Source organism: Homo sapiens, chromosome 18 (assembly GCF_000001405.40).
Source record: "Homo sapiens chromosome 18, GRCh38.p14 Primary Assembly".
NCBI classification, from domain to species: domain Eukaryota; kingdom Metazoa; phylum Chordata; class Mammalia; order Primates; family Hominidae; genus Homo; species Homo sapiens.
This window is the reverse complement of record NC_000018.10, coordinates 49390269-49411609: the sequence shown is the minus strand read 5'-3', so window position 1 is coordinate 49411609 and position 21341 is coordinate 49390269. Positions and strand designations below refer to the sequence as shown.

Sequence of the window (21341 nt, the reverse complement as noted above, 5' to 3'; positions counted from 1 at the left end):
ATCTGCTTTTCTTAAAAATATTTGAGCTATTAATTTCTCACTTTTCATTATTGAGATTCATATATGAGAACGGTGTGCCTAAAAGTAAAATAAAACCAGTCTAAATTACAGAAAACTGTGAAGTAGGGAATACTTAATTTAAAATTTTAGCTTCCCGACCACACTATAGTTTATGATTTCATAGCAGTTACAAGAAAGTCGTCTATCATCTTACCATTTTCCTTATTAGATTTAAAATTTTGTTTTCTTCCAATTCTTTATAATTCACATAATTTTTGCATGATTGGAATTATAATGTAGATATACTTTTTATAATAATTTATGTGTGACACAACTTCTTTTAGGAATATATAGAAATTCCAACTAGTTGCTGGAGTGTTTCTAGGTTGATATTATGTGGGTTTGCCTTAAGAGTATCTCATTTAATATTATTCATATTGAAAGAGTATTAATCTGGAAGTTAAATATGTTTATTCTTATACCGTGACATTGGACAAGTTACTCTGCTTCTCTATTTCTGTCACTTGTAAAGTGAGGATACTCCCATTTCCTCGGTCAACTTCTCAGGGTTTTTAAAAGAAATCAAATGAAATAATAAAGGTGAAAGAACTTTGAATAGTGTATATAGGCCTGTACAAAATGCAAGTTATTTCAGCAAATTTATTTGCATATGGACAATAATATGCTAACATCTTTAAACACATTTCTTTTGTAGAAGGTTAAATAATACTTTTTCTAAATCCCCTCTCCCTTGTCAAAATGATTTCTTTAAAGTATAACACAAAAGTCAGTTTCAACTCAATTTGTTTAATTTTAATTTTAATTTTAATTTTTTTGAGACAGGGTTTTGCTGTATTGGCCAGGCTGGAGGGCAGCTCATTGCAGCCTCCACCTCCAGGGCTCAAGGAGCAGCTGGGACTACAGGCACTCTACCATGCCCAGCTAATTTTTTTTTTTTTTTTGGTAGAGAAAAGGTCTCACTATGTTGTCCAGGCTTCAACTCAATTTTAGACAAACAGCCCCCAATCCTGAATTAGTAAATTTCAGATCAGTGAAGTCTGCTAAATGTATATAATAAGACTTTTTTTTTTTTTGAGGTTGTGGTGTTATTATACAACCAATTGGTAAGCTTTTCTTCTAAGAGTATATATTATTCAACTTCTTATTTTTTTTTAACCTTAATCCCTGAGGACCAACACCATGGCCTGGCAGTGTCCATTGGTACCTCTTATAATACTTAAAAATCCAGTGACTGGGTACTGTGGCTTATGCCTGTAATCCCAGTACTTTGGGGGTCAAGGCAGGAGGATTGTTTGAGGCCAGGAGTTCTAGACTAGCCTGGGCAACATAATGAGACTCCATTGCTACAAAAAAAAATTTGCTGGGCATGGTGGCACACACCTGTAGTCTTGGCTACTCGGGAGGCTGAGGTGGGAGGATTGCTTGAGCCCAGGAGTTCTAAGCGGCAGTGAGCTGGGATCATGACACTGTAATCCAGCCTTGGGAATGCATCGAGACCCTGTCTCTAAAACACACACACACAAAATCCAAAGTGTTCAGATGAAGAAGAAAGAGACAGATGAGTTAGTAGAAAAGCAGATTGAGATGACAAAGGAAAAAAGTGTTGGATGATAGAAACCACTAAAGAGGCACAAATCGTTTCTTTAGGTACTACGTATAGGCTCCACGACCTAAGTCACAGAACATCAGCTGAGTTAGCTTAAGTGTGCTGCTTCTGTTGACCCCAGTTGTGAGTATTTCACTTGCAAACTGTAGCCTGCCTGACCTGCTACACCAATTGACCAACATATTGTAAATACCTCTTGCATATTTTCATATGTGACAATTATCAGGACTAGGTATTTAGTTTATTAGATGGTCCATGTTATATATTTATTTTTATTGTGGAAACTTGAATTCTTGAACTACAGGCTTCATATGAAAGAGGCTTTTTTTCCCTACCAACAAATATTTTTTCCTTATTAATTTGCCAGGATGGGAAAACTAATTGACATCCAACAGTGGTACTCTGTTGATGAATGAAGGGATACATGCTTTAACACCAAGCTCTGGTCTTTTTATTCCATCATTCATGAGCTGTGGTGGGGTCTCCCCTGAGTTGTGGTGGAGAGCAGATCTACCATCAAGGCCATGGTTGTTTCTCTTCCATCACCTCCTGAATTGTGGCTCATGACATTTGGAAGCATTTTCTGCTTAAGCAGCAATATAGTCAATCATGTGTCTTTATAATGAACAAATATAATCCAGAATTTTTTATTTAATATTTGCTAAGTTTTTTTCTTTTTTTTCTTTTTTTTTTTTTTTTGAGACAGAGTCTCACTCTGTCACCCAGACTAGAGTGCAGTGGTGCAATCTCGGCTCACTGCAACCTCCACCTCCCAGGTTCAAGTGATTCTCCTGCCTCAGCCTCCTGAGTAGCTGGGACTACAAGTGTGAGCCACCATGCTCGGCTAATTTTTGTATTTTTAGTAGAGACGGGGTTTCGCTATGTTGGCAGGCTGGTCCTGAACTCCTGACCTCAGGTGATCCACCTGCCTCGGCCTCCCAGGGTGCTGGGATTGCAAGTGTGAACCACTGTGCCCAGCCCACATTTACTGAGTTTTTACTTTTTCTGTCACAACTGAATATTTCTGTATTTTGTTGACTAGACCATTCTTGAAGTTTAGGCCAGAGCCGTTTGTTATGCCAGAGGATTCTCACATGAGTTTAAGTCCATAGAGGTTATAAACTCTGTACAATATTTATGTGCCCCGTCCCTCTTGTTATTTAATACAACAATTGATTGCCTGGGACAGCTAAAGAATTTAGGTCATGTTGAATAGGGTTCCTTCTAAATTTACATGGCACGGTAATAATTTGCTACTTAGACATCATACCCTTTATGGGTTCCTCTGTAGGCCATTTTAGAGGGAAAACAATCCATATTTGTAATAAAGCTTTATGCTTGCTTACTATCATCACATACTTATTTGAGTTTAAAGATAACTGGATTTGGTGTCAAAAGATCTTGATTTGCAACTTTGCAAATCTAGCAATGTGTGGAAGATTATAAGCCACAATTATGCACTACTGGTGGGTAATCTTTCTGGAATATAATTTGCGACATTCATCAGAACAGAAGTGTTCATTGACCTAGCAATTGCACTTCCAGATTTATGTTAAGGACATAATTGGACAAGTTCAGAAATATATGTGGAGAGACATGTGTAAAGACATTCATAGCAATGTTTATGGTAGAAAATTGCTAACAACTTAAATGTCCACCAGTAAGATCGGCTACATAAATAAAAATGGTGCATCTGCACACTGGAACAACATATAGCCGTTAAAAACAATCCTATGTTTTTAGATATGGAAAAGGACCTACAGCATATTAAGTAGTTAAAGCCAGTTATAAAACCATGTGTATAACATAATATTGTTCATGCAAAATTGTATATATATTTTAAAATGTATATGATATATTCATTTAAATTTTTAATATGTTTGTATAGCTTTTTATGGTTCAGTTTTTTTTTTTTTTTTGAGATGAGGTCTTGCTATGTTGCCCAGGCTGTTCTTAAATTCCTGGAATCAGGCAGTCCTCCCCCTTCAGCCTCTTGAGTAGCTGGCACTACAGGCATGTGCCACTGCACCTGGCTGGTTCAGTTTTTAAAACTTACTTGGAAATAATTTAAATGGATTAGAGGTTGCAAAAATGTACAGGGTGGTTCTTTAGCTCCCATAGTTTCTTGTAACTGTAACATCTTGTATAACTACAGTACAGTATCAAAAATAGGAAACTGACATTGGTACAATCCCCAGAGCTTATTGAGATTTCAGCTGTCAGTGATACGGTTTGGATATTTTGTCCCCTCCAAATCTCATGTTGAAATGTGACCTCCAACGTTGGAGGTAGGGCCTGGTGAGAAGTGTTTGGGTCATGGTGGCAGATCCCTCATGAATGGCTAGCGCCATCCCCTGATGATGAGTGAATTCTTGCTCAGTTTGTTCACACAAGATCTAGTTGTTTAAAAGAGTGTGGCATCTCTTTCCTTTCTCTCTCTTGCTTCTTCTCTTGCCTTGTAACATGCTGGCTCCTCCTTCACCTTCTGCAATGATTGTAAGCTTCCTGAGGCCTTACCAGAAGCTGAGCAGTTGCTAACACCATGCTTCTTATACAGCTTGAAGAACCATGAACAAATTAAACCTCTTTTCTTTATAAATTACTCAGGCTCCGGTATTCCTTTATAGCCATGCAAAATGGACTAACACAGTTATTTATCCGTGCATTCATTTATGTGTTTATGTATAGCTCTATACCGTTTTATCATGTGAGTAGATTTATGTAACCAACCATGATCAAGATACAGTGCTTACCCTTTATAGCCACACCCATCCTCTCCTCCCCATCCCCATCCCTAATTCCTGGCAGCCACTAATTAGTTTTCTATTTCTGTAGTTTTATTTCAGCAATATTATGTAAATGGAATTTTACATTACGTAACATTTTGAGAAGGGCTCTTTTCTTTCACTCAGCATAGTGTCTTGAAATCCATTGAAGTTGTTATGGATCTCACTTGTTCATTCCTTTTTAATTGCTAAGTAGTGTTCTGTGTTGTAGATGTGCCATAGTTTGTTTAGACAGTCACTCACTGAGGGACATTTGGATCATTACCACTTTTTGGCTGTAATGAATAAAGTTGCTATGAAATTCATGTACAAGTTTTTGAGTGAACATAAGTTTTCATTTCTTTGAGATAAATGTTCAAGAGTACAATTGCTGTGTTGTATAGTTAGTGCATATTTAGCCTTATAGGAAATTGCCAAATGGCTTTCCAGAGTGGTTTTATCACTTTACTTTCCCATCAGCAATGTGTGAGAGAGCCAGTTTATCTGCCTCCTCGCTGGCATTTGATGTTGTCACTATTTTTTATTTTTGCAATTTTGATAGGTGTTTAGTGTTGCCTCCTGGTGATTTTGGGATGGTTCATTTTTACAATAATAAAAAGTAATAGCCACTTTCTTTTTTCTTTTCTTTTCTTTTTTGAGACAGAGTCTCACTCTATCACTCAGGCTAGAGTGCAGTGGCATGATCTCGGCTCTCTGCAACCTCTGTCTCCCAGGTTCAAGTAATTCTTGTGCCTCAACCTCCTGAGTAGCTGGGATTACAGGTGTGAGCCACCAGACCTGGCTAATTTTTGTATTTTTAGTAGAGACGGGGTTTCACCACTTTGGGGCCAGACTGGTCTCAAAATCCTGCCTCAGGTGATCTGCCTGTCTCAGCCTCCCAAAGTGTTGGGATTACAGGCGTGAGCCACCATGCACATCCAAAGTAATAGCCATTTTATTTTAAAAAATAAAAATAATGGTCATCCTAGCCTGAGCAATCAGGCAAGAGAAAGAAATAAAAGGTACTCAAATAGGAAAAGAAGAAGTCAAACCATCTCTTTTTGCTGACAATATGCTTCTAGAAAATCCTAAAAACTCCTCCAGAAGATTCCTAGAGCAGATAAATGACTTCAGAAGGATACAAAATCAATGTACAAAAATCAGTAGCATTTCTATACATTGATAATATTCAAGCTGACAACCAAATCAAGAATGCAAACCCATTAACAACAGCCTCACAAAAAAGAAAATACCTAGGAATACATTTGCCCGAGGAGGTGGAAGATCTCTATAAGGAGAACAATAAAACACTGCTGAAAGAAATCATAGACAATACAAACAAATGGAAAAACATTCCATATTCATGGATGGGAAGAATTGACATTGTTAAAATGGCCATACTGTCCGAAGCAATCTACAGATACAATACTATTCTTATGAAACTACCATGTCATTTTTCACAGAATTAGAAAAAACTGTTCAAAAATATGGAACCAAAAAAAGAGCTTGAATAGCCAAAACAATCCTAAGCAAAAAGAACAAAGCTGGAGGCATCACATTATCTGACCTCTAAGTATACTATAAGGCTACAGTAACAAAACCAGCATGATATTGGCACAAAAACAGACCAATGGAACAGAATAGAGAACCCAGAAATAAAGCCATATACCTACAGCTATCTGATCTTTGTCAAAGCGGACAAAAATCATAAGGAAAAGACTTCCTATTCAATAAATGGTTCTGGAATAGCTGACCATATGCAGAATAATGAAACTGGACCACTACCTTTCACCATATAAAAAGTTTAACTGAAGATGGATTAAAGATTTAAATGCAAGAACACAGAGTGTAGGAATCCTACAAGAAAACCTAGGAAACACCATTCTGGACATTGGCTGTGGGAAAGAATTTGTGACTAAGTTCTGAAAAACAATTGTAACAAAAACAAAAATTGACCAGTGGAATCTATTTAAACTAACGAGCATCTGCACAGCAAAATAAAAAATCAACAGAGTAAACAGACAACCTACAGAATGGGAGAAAATATTTGCAAACTGCATTCAGCAAACATCTAATATCCAGAATCTATAAGGAATTCAAACAGTTCAACAAGCAAAAACCAAATAACCCCATTAAAAAATGAGGAAAAGGCATGAATGGACAATTTTCTTTTCCTTCTTTTTCTTTCTTTTTTTTTTTTTTTTTGAGATGGAGTCTCACTCTGTCACCCAGGCTGGAGTGCAATGGCGCAACCTTGGCGCACTGCAACCTCTGCCTCCCAGGTTCAAGCAGTTCTCCTGCTTCAGCCTCCCGAGTAGCTGGGATTACAGGTGCCCACCACCATGCCTGGCTAATTTTTGTATTTTTAGTAGAAGTTTCACCACATTGGTCAGGCTGGTCTCGAACTCCTGACCTCGTGATTCACCTGCCTTGGCCTCCCAAAATGCTGGGATTACAGGCGTGAGCCACCATGCCCAGCCGTGAATGGACAGTTTTCAAAGGGAGACATATAAGAAGCCAACAAACATGAAAAAGTGCTCCACATCATTAATCATTAGAGAAACGCAAATCAAAACCGCAGTGATTTGCCATCTCACACCAGTCAGAATGGTGTTATTAAAAGGTCAAAAAATAACAGATGCTGGTGAGGCTGCAGAGAAAAGGGAGTGCTTATACATCGTTGGTGGGAATGTAAATTAGTTCAGCCACCATGGAAAGCAGTCTGGAGATTTCTCAAAGAACTTAAAACAGGATTACCATTTCACCCAGCAATCCTATTACTGGGTATATATTCAAAAGAAAATAAATAATTCTACCAAAAAGACACATGCACTTGTATATTTATCACAGCAGTATTTGCAATAGCAAAGACATCACATCAACCTAGGTGCCCATCAACAGTGGATTGGAGGCTGGGCATGGTGGCTCACACCTTTAATCCTAGCACTTTGGGAGGCCTAGGCGGGAGGATCACTTGAGGTCAGGAGTTCGAGACCAGCCTGGCCAACATGGTGAAACCCCATTTCTACTAGAAGTACAAAAATTAGCCAGGTGTGGTGGCATACACCTGTAATCCCAGCTACTCAGGAGGCTGAGGCAGGGGAATTGCTTGAATCCGGGAGGCGGAGGTTGCAGTGAGCCGAGATTGTGCCATTGCACTCCAGCCTGGGTGACAGAAAGAGACTCCATCTCAAAACAAACAAACAAACAAAAAAAAAACAGAAAAAACAACAGTAAATTGGATAAATAAAATGTGCTATATATATGCCATAGACTATTATGCAGCCATAAAAGGAATGAATTCATATCCTTTGCAAGCAACATGGATGCAGCTAGAGGCCGTTATCCTAAGGAAATTAACATAGGAACAGAAAACCAAATACTGCATGTTCTTACATACAGGTGGAAACTAAACATTGATTACTTATGTATATAAAGGAGAACAATAGACACTGGGTACTACTATGGGGGGAAGAAGGAGGGGGACAAGGGTTAAAAAACTGTTGGGTACTTTGCTCATTACCTGAGTGATGGAATCATTCATATCCCAAATCTCAGCATCATGCAATATACCCATGTAACAAACCTGCACACGTACACTCTGAATTCAAAATAAAAGTTGAAATTTAAAAAAAATAAAAAACCTAGACTTAAAAAAGTCTTTGTTCTGCCACTTAGTATTTTCTTTATCAGTGTGAATATCTCATCTATAATAGAAATACTACCTGCTATTCCTTTTTCACAAGATGGCTGTATCAAATGAAATCATATATTCAAAACCACCTTGTAAACTATAAAACATCATACAAATGTAAGTTGCTTAATACTGAGAGATGTCCTAGGTGTGAACAAGGATGTTGATTTTCTTTGTCATCTACTAGGTTTATACTTCTATTGTAATGAAACATTAATGTAAATAAAATCAAAGCAGATCACTTACAGTTGTTTAATAGAGCTGCTTTGGTACTATTTCAAAACGTATAACCACTTCAAAATTACTAAATGATGTTTTATACTCCCCTCCTGCTCAGTGCAGGGGAAGATAAGGGAAGGCTGATAAATTAGTAATTTAAGTGTGTATTAAGGGATAAATAAATAAATATTTGACAGTTCAATACTTATGGGTTTTCTTGTTGGTTTTGGGGAGTTAGGGAACTCATATTTATTGAGCTGTGTGCTGGGCACTTTCCACACATTGCCATATCATCTTCATAGCTGTCCTATGAGTTGGTGGCATTTTTACCTCCATTTTACAGATGAGAACTGCGATTCTCAAATTAAGTAATTTGGCTAGGTCATACCAGTAGTTAATGAAGAAGTTGGAACTTAAATATGCAGCTTCAAAAATCGATCGCTTTCCATTATACCAGGGGCATATCTGCTTTTCAGTAACAAGCACAAGATTGGAAATCTATGTGAGCAGTGTGCAGGAGTTTTGCTAATTGATGGCAGTGGTTAAACTGAGAGGTAGAGTGCACTTGGTGTATATGTTTTAAACATGATCCGCCTATGAATCCAGTGGGTGCAGAGACGTTCCATATTCTTGCTGTTGGAAATCCTTCCTAGTATTTTAATTTGGTCTATAATTTTAGTGGAATTAAACAAGAATTTTTAAAGATTATGTACCTGATTGTGTTGTGATTTAGTAACAGTTAGTGGTTCATCAAAATCTGCTAGCCAGACACTTGGCAGCAGTGGTTAATTATATAGGGATTGTTGTGAGCACATGGTTAGACTTTATCATATACTCTAGTGGAGACCTGATTATTGCTGTCGTTCTCATTATCTTTTTCTTCCCCCCTAAAAATCTCAGGATGGTTGTAGCCAGGGTCAGATATTTAACCATTATATGCCCTGACCATCTTGCTGCTGCTCTAAGAGTTTTGTTAATGTTTGTGTTTTATTTTGTGCTTAATGACTCCCCATTAGATGTAGGATGGAATCCAAACTCCTTAGCATGACATAAGGATACTCCATTCTTTTGCTCTGATTTACCTTACCAGTCTTCTCTGCAACCTACACTTCATGTAGAGGGTGTGAGGTTGAGGTTGATGACAGTTGTCTCCCTAGGGAGATTCTCTTCATGAAATCCAAGGAAGCAAACAGAATATGGCCCAGAAGTGGCAATGGTAATGTTTAAGAGCTTCCTCTATAGTTGTGAACATTTTCTTTTTTCTTTTTTTTTTTTTTTGAGACAGAGTTTCGCTCTTGTTGCCCAGGCTGGAGTGCAGTGGTGTCATCTCGGCTCACTGCAACCTCCACCTTCCGGGTTCAAGTGATTCTCCTGCCTCAGTCTCCCAAGTAGCTGGGATTACAGGTGCGCATCACCACACTCAGCTAATTTTTGTATTTTTAGTAGAGATGGGGTTTTGCCACGTTGGCCAGGCTGGTCTTGAACTCCTGATTTCAGGTGATCCACCCGCTTCAGCCTCCCAGAGTGCTGGTATTACAGGCATGAGCCACAGCACCCAGCCTAGTTGTGAAAATTTTCATAACCACTTCCTTACTGAATTATCTTCCGGGTAGCCCAATGAAGTTTCTTAACCGTGTTTCAGATTTTGTGTGTGTGTGCGTGTGTGTGAGAGAGAGAGAGAGAGAAAGGTTGATTGATTGATTCTTGGGCATAGTTCTCCAATCCCTTAGTAATTGTTTATTGTGATGTCACCAGCAAAACTGACACAAAGAAATGACAGATGTTTGAGATGAGGATGCCCCAATTACCCTGATTTGATCTTTCACAGTGTGTACATGTATCAAAATACCACATGTATCCCACAAATATTTACAATTATTATGTATCAGTAAAAAACAAAATAAAACTGAGATTCCAGTTTTGTGACTCCCATCTGTTTATGTTGCTGCCAAAGTGATAGTGTGGCCATCCTCTGAGAAGAAGGCTTCTAATATATGGATTGCTTCAGGGAGAGTCACACCTGGTCATTGGATCAGTATGGTTGTTGAGAGTTTAGTTTGTTTAGCTACTTTGACTAAGAGATTACTAGTTTTAAGTATTTATCCCTAATTTCCCACTATTGACAGTTTTCAAATTGACCTGGAGGTATGGAATTTATGTATGCATTAAACTTGAAGTATACTGTGTGATACTTATTTAGTCTGAATTAGTATGAATATTTGACACTGCCTTTTTGCCCCCTTTTGTGTGTTTTTACTGCCCAAATCTGCCTTCAGAAACAACATTTGGTTTCTAATTGTAATATTCTTGGAAACACTGGCATATTTTTACAGTACCATTTTACTTTTATTTACTGCAAATGATGGTTTGTTAGTTGCCTGCTGCCAGCACATCTGAGCTCATTTGTTTAACTAAAACAGCATTGTGCATAGATGCCTGTAACAGGCAGCAACAGTTACCAACCACCCCAGTTCCTTACTACCTCATTATAGCTCTAAATCAAGCAAATAGGAAAGCAGATTATTCTTAAAATGTTCCAAGAAGTTTAGAAAATTGAGGGATGGAAGGATGAAAGGAAAGGAATTCTAATGTAACAAATAATTGGTGTGTTGCTTTTGGCAGGGGTGTGCCTGGCTGATTTCTTCTGTAGAAATAACTAACACTTCAGAGTGCAGAAATTGCAGGCATCCTGCAACAAACAGAGCTCTATGACTCCTTTAGTTAATAAATAATTACCAAGTGGTTTTTTTCTGGCTGAGCCACTGTATCAGACACAGTGGGGGATGTATAAGTGAATGAGATCTTCCTGTTCTCTTGGAGCTTATAATGTGGGCTCTGAAGATGCTTCTGCTCTAAAGTGTTGATTGTTGAACGAGGCAGTGGCAGTGGTGCTGTTTCAGATTGTGGCTGTGTGTTGGGGGATCCAGGCCTGGGGGACATAGTCACAGAATGGCAGGTGCTGGCTGGCTCACCACAGTGGGGAGCTTTCCAGATAATTCTGACAAATCAGACTGCTTCAAAAGGATATGCTCTTTTATATTTGGAAAGAAAGAAATGTCTTTTAGTCTGGGTGCTATGGCTCACACCTGTAATCTCAGCACTTTGGGAGGCCAAGGTGGGTGGATCACCTGAGGTCAGGAGTTCAAGACCAGTCTGGCCAACATGGTGAAACGTCGTCTCTACTAAAAATTCAAAAATTAGCCAGGCGTGGTGGCAAGTGCTTGTAATCCCAGCTACTTGGGAGGCTGAGGCAGGAGGATTGCTTGAGCCTGGGAGGCAGAGGTTGCAGTGAGCCAAGATCACTCACTGCACTCCAGCCTGGGTGATAAAGGAAGACTCCGTCTCAAAAAAAAAAAAAAAAAAAAAAAAAGAAAAATAAAAATAAATGTCTTTTAAAAAATATTTTAACAGAAATTTAAACTTGAGCGGCAGACCTTGCCTTGAGGGCTGGAGACTGGGAAGTGTTTCCTAAGGAGCCAGGGGAAATAATTCTGTCTCCTGGTAATGAAGGTCTGAGTGGTGTCTGACAGTGCCTAACTGCCTGCTCTGTACCAGGCTGGAATACTGTGATGAACAAGGAGCCCACAATCTAGTGGGGGCCATAGACAAGCAACTGGGCAATCTTACTGCTGCGTGCTCAGTTTTATGATTGAGAGCTGTTGGGTGTTGGGGTGGAGAATGGACTTCTTACCTTGTCTTAGGTGAGACCTGATCAAAGAAGGCTTCCTGGAAGGAGTGATGTCCAAACCAACCTCACTAATATACGTTGGAATTAATCCCCTTTTCAGGCTAATACTGTTGTAAAAATAAACCAGAGCCCTGTTTTGGTTTTTGTTTATACCCAAAACAAAAATGGAGAGACTGAACTTGGTATTCCAGCCGTCTAGAATACTTTTCCAGCTTTGTAGTTTGCCATTCCCCTGTGTTGATTAACCACCCCTTCCCAGGGCATGCCAGGCTCTCTGTGACTGCGATGCCTCTGCATGCACTATTCTCTTTGTTCTGCCTGCCTGATGTCTCTTGGCCCTTCAGGAAGAATAGTTACTTCCTCCAGGATAGCCTCTTTGATTCCTTCTATGGTACGTTGAGTGCACATCCTGTGAGCTCACACACAGGGCTGGTTTCATAATTCATACTTCCCCTGTACTGAACTGTCTGTCTGCTTTTTCATTCCTCCATGTAGCCTGGAGGCAGAGGCAGCATCTTTCACGAAGCCTAGCATGTCCTAGGCACCCAAGCACTATTTGCTGATGAACAAATTTAGCAGCTTCGAAGATTACAGCCATATGTGTATAATTGAAACTCTTGGTTCCAGTCAGCTTTAAAAGAGAGTGCCATTGACTGAAGAAAGTGAAATAGATTTTATGCATGTGGTCTAGTTATTAATTTCATAAAGCTTTTTACAATCCTTTGCATTTTATACCTCTTTTACTTTTTGTCTGAGTAACCAATAAACCGAGTAATTCATAGTTCCCATTTCTTGCCAACTACTAATGTGTATCATTAAATCTGACCACAGTGATTTATTAATTAGAAGTCTTCTGGTTGTCAACAAAAATCAGTTTTACTTACTATATGCCAGAAAAAGGGGAAGATGTGATGAAGACACTGGAGTGTCTCATAGAATCCAAGATCAGGAACACACTCAGGCTTCTGGAAGAACTGGTCCCAGGAATTGGAAAGCCATCAGCAATCCTGAGGGTCCTTTCTGTTTATGTCTTTCTTTCTGCAAAGCTTTTACTCATCTTTCTTACTAACTGGCTTTCTCTGCCACTCTGTCGGTAGAGGGTGGCCTCCCACAGCCCTAAACTATGCAGCCAAGTTCTAGCCAAATGGAAAGCCTGTCTTTCCATCTCAATTCTAAATTCTCTAAGACTTGGGCTAGGCTTGGGTTAGATGTCTATCCCTGGACTAGTCAGCTGTGGCCAGGAGCGGAGACATGCTGCACATATCTGTCTGCCTCTGCTCACCTCCGAAAAGTAGGTGGGAAGATAGAAAAAGGGGTAGGGAGGCAGCAGACAGAGAGACAGACAGCAGAGAGACATTGTAAGGCTGGCAGACACCTTATAAATATCTAATATGGTGAGTCTCCATAAACTACTACCCTTAAACTATATCATAGGATCACTTCTAGGTTATTTTGTTAAAAAAAGTCAGTCCTAGGTGAAACTTAAAAAATTTAACTTTAAAAAGACGATATCTTTTAAAATATGCATATAATTTGAGACTCTTAAGGTAACGGGATATTCACTATAGTTAGTAAGTCTTAGCTTTGTGTGTATATATGATTTTTATGCATGACACTCTTTAATTGCTGGGAGGTTCTAGCAGCTCTGTCCAGCAGAAATACAAGATAAGCCACATTTGTAATTTAAGGTTTTCTAGTAGCCACATTGAAAAAGTAAAATGAAAAAGGTGAATTTAATTTTAATGTATTTTATTTAACCCCAGTTTCCCAGATATAATCGTTATATGAATATAAAATTAATGAAATGTTTTACATTCTTTTAAAAACCTTTGAAATATGGTGTGTATTTTATGCTTTAGCAAATCTCAGTTTGGACCATTTCAGGTGGTCAGCAATTACACATGGCTAGAACTAAGAGCAATCAGTTTTCTTCCACAGTTTTTCTAAAATTTTCTTGTCAAAAATCTTGATGGTATGAATTACTCTTTTAAAAAGTGCACTTCACCAGCAACAGAAAAGAACCCTGGAGGGGTATGGGTTTTAAAGCTGGTACAAAAGAGTTGCCCATTTGGAGGATTTACTGCACCATGTGTATTGGTAAAAAAGAAAACATAATTTTTAACCAAGTCACCAGGCTCTAAAGCCAGTTCTTGTTCTTCTCAGACTTCTGATTCCTGGAATTTTACTTTAAACTCCTTGGATGCCTCAGTTTGCTTATCTGTAAAAATAAGATTTATAATGGTCCTGTCCCACAGAAGAGATTTTCATGGAATTTAATTGCACCAATATATTTGAAAGTGTTTTGAAAGATATTTAAAGGGTTAAACAAATGTGAAGCATTATTTTAATTTATCATCTATGGGTAAATTACTACATTTTGGAATCAATAATAGTTATCATTTTTAAAAAGTTTTATTTTGTTAATTGACACATAATTGTACATATTTATGGGGTACCATATGATGTTTCGATGCATTATACATTGTGTAATGATTAAATCAGGGCAATTAGCATATCCATCACCTCAAACACTTGTTATTTCTTTGTGGTGAGAACATTCAAAATTATTTTAGCCATTTTGAAATGTAAAGTACATTATTGTTAACTCTAGTCACCTTACTGTATAATAGAACATTAGAACTTATCCCTTTTATCTAATGTAACTTTATACCTGTTGACCTCTCTCCCTCTCCCTGCCTGTCCTACCCAGCCTTCAGTACCACTATTCTACTGTTTATCTCTATGGGATCAACTTTTTAAGTTTTCACAGATGAGTGAGATCATGTGTTATTCGTCTTTTGTGCTTGACTTATTTCACTTAATGTCTTGTGGGTTCATCCAGGTGCCGCAAATGACGGGATTTCATTTATTTTTATGCCTGAATAGTATTCCATTGTGTATATGTACCTCATTAAAAAAATTCATCCATTGATGGATACTTAGGTTGATTCCATATCTTGGCCATTGTGAATAGTGCTGCAGTAAACATGAGAGTGCAGATATCTCTTTGACATACTGATTTTGTTTTCTTTGGATATAGAGGTTGAGTATCCCTAATCCAAAAATCTGAAATCCAGAATGCTCTAAAATCCAAAACTTTTTGAGCACTGACGTGATGCTTAGAGGATAATGCTCACTGTACTATTTTGGATTTTGGATTTTTGGATTAGGGATGCTCAGCTATAATGCAAATATTTCAAAATCGGAAAAAAAAATCTGAAATCAGAAATGCTCCTGGTCTCAAGCATTTTGGGTAAGGGATGCTCAATGTTTATACCCAACAGTCGGATTATTGGATTATATGGTAGTTCTATTTTTAATTTGTTGAAAAACCTCCCTACTGTTGTCCTTAATGGCTGTACTAATTTACTTTCCTAACGTCTTGGTCTGTTTTGTGTTGCTATAAAGAAATACCTGAAGCTGGGTAATTTATAAAGAAAAGAGGTTTATTTGGCTCACACTTCTGCAGGCTGGTACCAGCATCTGCATCTGATGAGGGCCTCAGGCTGCTTCCACTCATGGCAGAAGGTGAAGGGGAGCTGGTGTGTACAGAGAACATATGATGAGAAAGGGTGCAATGGGGCGGGGAGGTGCCAGGCTCTTTTTCACAACCAGTACTAATGGGAACTAATAGAGTGAGAAGTTACCCACTTCTGAGGGAGGGTATCAGTCTGTTCATAAGGGATCTGCCCCCATGACCCAGACACCTCCCATTAGGCCCCACCTCTAACATTGGGGATCAGATTTCAATATGAGGTTTGTAGGGATCAAACATCCAAATTATAGCACCTACTAACATTGTATGAGAGTTTCCCTTTCTCTGCATCCTTGCCAACATTTGTAATTTTTTGTCTTTTTAATAATAGCCATTCTAACTGGGTGATGTGATATCTCATTGTGGTTTTGATTTGCTTTTCCCTGGTGATTAGTGGTGAGGTATATTTTTCATATACCTATTGCCATTTGTATGTCTTCTTTTTTTTTTTTTAGACAGAGTTTTGCTCTTGTTGCCTAGGCTGGAGTGTAATGGCACAATCTTGGCTCACCACAACCTCTGCCTCCCAGTTTCAAGCGATTCTCCTGCCTCAGCCTCCTGAGTAGCTGTAATTACAGGCATGAGCCACCACACCTGGCTTATTTTGTATTTTTAGTAGAGATAGGGTTTCTCCATGTTGGTCAGGCTGGTCTTGAACTCCCAACGTCAGGTGATCCTCCTGCCTCAGCCTCCCAAAGTGCTGGGATTATAGGCATGAGCCACTGCGCCTGGCCTTGTGTTTCTTCTTTTGAGAGGTGTCTATTTAGGTATTTTGTTCATTTTTAAATTGGATTTTTTTTTTTGCCATTGAGTTCCTTATGTATCCTGGATGAGTCCCTTGTCAGATGCATAGTTTGTGAATATTTTCTCCTTTTCTGTGGATTGTCTCTTCACTTTGTTCTTTCCTTTGCTGTGCAGAAGCTTTTTAGTTTGATATAATCCTATTTGTCTATTTTTGCTTTTGTTCTCTGTGCTTTTGAGGTCTTATCCAACAAGTCCTTGCCCAGACCAATGTGCTGAAGCATTTTACTTAAGTGTCTTCTAGTAGTTTTCATAGTTTCAGGTAGTACATTTAAGTCTGTATTTTAAGTTGATTTTTGTAAGTGGTTAGAGATAGGGGTCTAGTTTCATTTTTCTGCATGTGAATATTCAGTTTACACAGTACCATTTGTTGAAGAGATTGTTCTTTCCCCATTGTGTGTTCTTGATGCCTTTGTCAAAAATCATGTGTGGATTTATTTCTGGGTTCTTTATTCTGTTGAACTATCTGGAAAAGAAATAAGGTAATACATTTACAGTAGCTATTAAAAAAACCTAGCAATAAATTTAACTGAGGAGGTAAAGATCTCTGCAATGAAAACTATAAGATATTGATGAAAAAAATTGAAGAAGACATAAATAAATGCAAAGAATATCCCTTGTTACGTATCGGAAGAATAAATATTGTTAAAATGTCTATGCTATCTCAAGTGATCTACAGATTCAATGCAATCCCTATCAAAATACCAGTGATATTTTTCACAGAAATAGAAAAAAAATTCTAAAATTTCTATGGCAACACAGAAGACCCAGAATAGCCAAAGCAATCTTGAGCAAAAAGAGCAAATCTGGAGACATTACGTTACCTGATTTCAAAATATACTACAAAGCAATAGTAACCAAAACAGCATGGTACTGGTATAAAAAAAAACAGACAAATGAAACAGAATCTATCATTTGTTGAGGACTTACTTTGTGCCAGGCACTGTTCTAAGTGCTTTATCGATATCATATAATTAATTTAATCATAATAACCTTATGAAGGTACTGTTACTATTTCTGTTTTATATATGAGGAAATTAAGACATAAAGATTTAACAAACCAGCCCAAGCTCAACTATCTAGTAAGTAGTTGAACTGGAGTTGAAATGCACTTAAAAAAATTGTGGTGAAATATACACAATGTAAAATAATCATTTTAACCATTTTAAAGTATATAGTTCTGTGGCATTAAGTATATTCACATTATCATGCAATCATTAACACCATCCATCTCTAAAACTTTTTAATCTTGGCAAACTGAAACTCTATACTGACTAAACACTAGTTCCCTATTCTCCCATCCCCAGCCCCTGGCAATCACCTTTTTACTTTTTCTCTTTGAGTTTAACTCCTCTAGGAGCCTCATATAAGAGGAATCATACAATATTTATCTTTTTGTGGCTGGCTTATTTCACTTAGCATAATGTCTTCAGGGTTCATTCATGTTGTAGCATATATTGAAATTCCCTATTTTATTTTTATTTATTTATTTTTATTATTATTTTCTTTTGAGATGAAGTTTCTCTCTTGTTGCTTAGGCTGGAGTGCAATGGTGCCATCTCAGCTCACCGCAATCTCTGCCTCCTGCATTCAAGTGATTCTCCTGCCTCAGCCTCCCGAGTAGCTGAAATTACAGGCATGCACCACCACACCCGGCTAATTTTGTATTTTTAGTAGAGATGGGGTTTCTCCATGTTGGTCAGGCTGGTCTTGAACTCCCGACTTCAGGTGATCTGCCCGCCTTGGCCTCCCAAAGTGCTGGGATTACAGGCATGAGCCACCGCGCCTGTCAAAATTCCCTATTTCTTAAGACTAAATAATATTCCATTGTGTGTATGTACATTTCATTTATCCATCTATCTGTTGGTACACATGTGGGTTACTTCTACCTCTTGGCTACTGTTAGTGGAGCTGCCATGGACACGAGTGTACAACTATCTCTTCAAGACCCTGCTTTCACTTCTTTTGGGTATCTACCCGGATGGTAATTTTATGTTTAATTTTTTGAGGAACTGCCATATTTTTGCCATAGTGGCTGCATCATTTTACATACCATCAGTGCACAAGGGTCCTAATTTCTCTGCATCCTTGCTAACACTTGTTACTTTCTTTTTTCCTTCCTTCCTTCCTTCCTTCCTTCCTTCCTTCCTTCCTTCCTTCCTTCCTTCCTTCCTTCCTTCCTTCCTTCCCTCCCTCCCTTCTTTCCTCCTCCTCCTCCTCCCCTCCTCCCCTCCTCCTCCTCCTCCTCCTCCTTCTTCCTCTTCTTCTTCTTCTTTTTTTTTTTTTGAGATGGAGTCTGACTCTGTCTCCCAGGTTGGAGTGCAGTGGCACGATCTTGGCTCACTGTAACCTCTGCCTCCTGGGTTCAAGCAATTCTCCTGCTGCATCCTCCCAAGTAGCTGGGATCACAGGCGTGTACCACCATGCCTGGCTAATTTTTGTATTTTTAGTAGAGATGGGTTTCACCATATTGGCCAGGCTGGTCTTGAACTCCTGACCTCAAGTTATCTGCCCTCCTCAGCCTCCCAAAGTGCTGGGATTACAGGTGTGAGCCCACCTCGCCTGGCCTCTTTTTTTTTTTTTTTTTTTTTTTTTTTTTAAATAAAAGCCATCCCAATGGGTGTGGAGTAGTATCTCGCTCTGGTTTTAGTGTTTCACTAATGACTAGTGATGTTGAGCATGTTTTCATGTACTTATTGGCCATTTCTATATCCTCTTTGGAAAATGGCTATTTAAGTCGTTGGTCCATTTTAAAATTGGGTTGTTTGGTTTTTGTTGTTGTTGAGTTGTAGGAGTTTTAAAAGTATATTCTGGATATCAATCTCTTATCAGATATGTGATTTACAAGTACTGTTTTCCATTCTGTGGGTTGACTTTTCACTCTGTAGATAGTATCCTTTGATCCACAGAAGTTTTTAATTTTGGTAAAGTCCAGCATGTCTGTTTTTTTCTGTTGATACCTGTGCTTTTTGGTGTCACATCCAAGAAATTGTTGTCAAATGCAATCTCAAGAAACATATTTTCTTCTAAGCTTTATTTCTGTCTCTGTCTATCTGTGCCTCTTTTCTCTGTGTCATCTTGAGTCTGTCTCTGTATCTGTTTCTGTATGTTTGTATCTTTGTATCTTTTTTCTATATATTTATAAACCACCAAAACATATATGTATCGTCTCTCTTTTCTTGCTTTATTTCTTCCTTTTCCTTTTTTTCTAGAACTTTTTGAAAGTATTGTAGCAATCATGACACTCCATGTATTTCCTAAAAATAATAGCATATTTCTAAACTATAATTAGTACTGCCTTTAGAATTGGGCACACAGGGCCCTTGCCTTGAGCTCTCTACTTTGGAGTGCCTTTCTTGAATTTTTCTAAGTCTCCCTGCTGCCTTAATGCCTGAAAGGCAGGGTGCCCCAAGCTCTTCTCTTTAGGAGTCTCATATTTAGAAATACAGTAAATTTCCTAATTATATTGAAAATTGAAGCCTAACTTTTTTTTTTGCTGATCTTATTGTTCACTACTGTGCACCATATTTTTCTTCTAAATTATTTTTCTTATCTTTATATATTTCTTTAACTGATTAGCATGTACATATTTAGTATTATAGTCATTAATTACCTTTATTCTTCTGTCTCTCCAGTAGTGAGTTGAAACTCTTGGAGGAAGCAACCATTTCAGTCTGCAGGTCATTAGGTAAGTGGGAAAAATGTGTGTGGGGTGTTGTTTTCAAATTTTGTTTTAGATTTTGATAGTATAATATGAACTGAATTAATGAAGTAATTACTCTTCTTTGATAGCAATAGTAATAATTTTTTCTATTTGTGGCATTCACAGATGCTGCTAGAAGGTACCCTTCAGTCAATAGCAATATGACACATGCTTGGCTATATCTGCAGTAGTGGTAATGGACTCTGCTAAGCCATAGACACTCTTTCGTCTTGTTCTTTTTGTGAATTTTGAAATACTGAAAATAATGTGATTTACCAAGTGCTGTTATTGACTATGTTCACCAGAACAATATTAAAATCTATTAAGAATGTATATTAGGAAGTTTCCATAACAACTTGATATTATGGCAAAGAGCATGGAATCCAGAATCATTTTATGATTTTAATTTCAGCTGTGCTACCTATTAGCTGAGCCTTAATTTCCTCATATAGATTGAGGATAAGGACAACTATTTACAGGATTCTTATAAGGAAAAATTAGGTAATATGAAATATTCAGTACAATGTGTGTCATGTAGTCATTGCAAACCATTTATGTCAGCAAATGTTACCCTTTTCAGGTCTTGTTTCTCAAATGCTTAACTTTCAAGTTCATAGCAATTGGAAGGAAATTGTATATATTTTTAAAATGCAGGCAGTTTTACTTAGATTGCATTGGTGCTTTGAAAAGTAAGACAATGTGTCTGTGAAATACCTAGGGTACAGGAATGTAATAAGTGAGAACAATATTCTGTTTTAAAATCAGGCTGTCTAGGCCGGACACAGTGGCTCACGCCTATAATCCCAGCATTTTGAGAGGCTGATGCGAGTGGATCACGAAGTCAGGAGTTCAAGACCAGCTTGGCCAAGATGGTGAAACCCCGTCACTACTAAAAATCCAAAAATTAGCAAGGCATGGTGGTGGGCGCCTGTAATCCCAGCTACTTGGGAGGCTGAGGCAGAGAATTGCTTGAACCCGGGAGGCAGAGGTTGCAGTGAGCCGAGATCGCGCCACTGCACTCCAGCCTGGGCGACAGAGCGAGACTCTGTCTCAAAAAACATTAAAAAAAAAAATCGAGCTGTATGGATAACTCCCATATAAACTATTTTGCTAAAAACAGTTTTTGATGATTTATTTTTTTTTTTAAAGAGATAGAGTCTTGCTTTGCTGCCCAGGCTGGAGTGCACTGGTGCCATTGTGGCTCACTGCAGCCTTGATCTCCTGGGCTTCAGTGATCCTTCCACCTCAGCCTCCTCAGAAGCTGGGGCTATAGGTGCATGGCACCACACCTGCCTAATGATTTTATTTT

The 21341-nt window shown here is 38.2% G+C and overlaps 1 protein-coding gene across 41 annotated transcripts in view, besides 1 other annotated feature; it reads left to right on the top strand.

Annotated features, from left to right (window-relative positions):
- Positions 1–21341, top strand: part of DYM (dymeclin) — a 424259-nt gene that overhangs the window by 49036 nt on the left and 353882 nt on the right. For 31 of the 41 annotated variants that reach the window (NM_001374443.1, NM_001374444.1, NM_001374442.1 and 28 more), the window contains one exon: positions 19965–20017. In NM_001374443.1, the coding sequence (NP_001361372.1) occupies positions 19965–20017 (53 nt within the window). The remainder of the gene's footprint in view (positions 1–19964; positions 20018–21341) is intronic. The other 10 variants (NM_001374439.1, XM_047437559.1, XM_047437553.1 and 7 more) reach the window with 1 other exon arrangement.
- Positions 9932–9981: a silencer, noted in NCBI's record as "silent region_9447". NCBI's record gives its function as "represses an Ori minimal core promoter by ATAC-STARR-seq in GM12878 lymphoblastoid cells {active_cell/tissue: GM12878}" and the evidence as "EXISTENCE:reporter gene assay evidence [ECO:0000049][PMID:35858748]".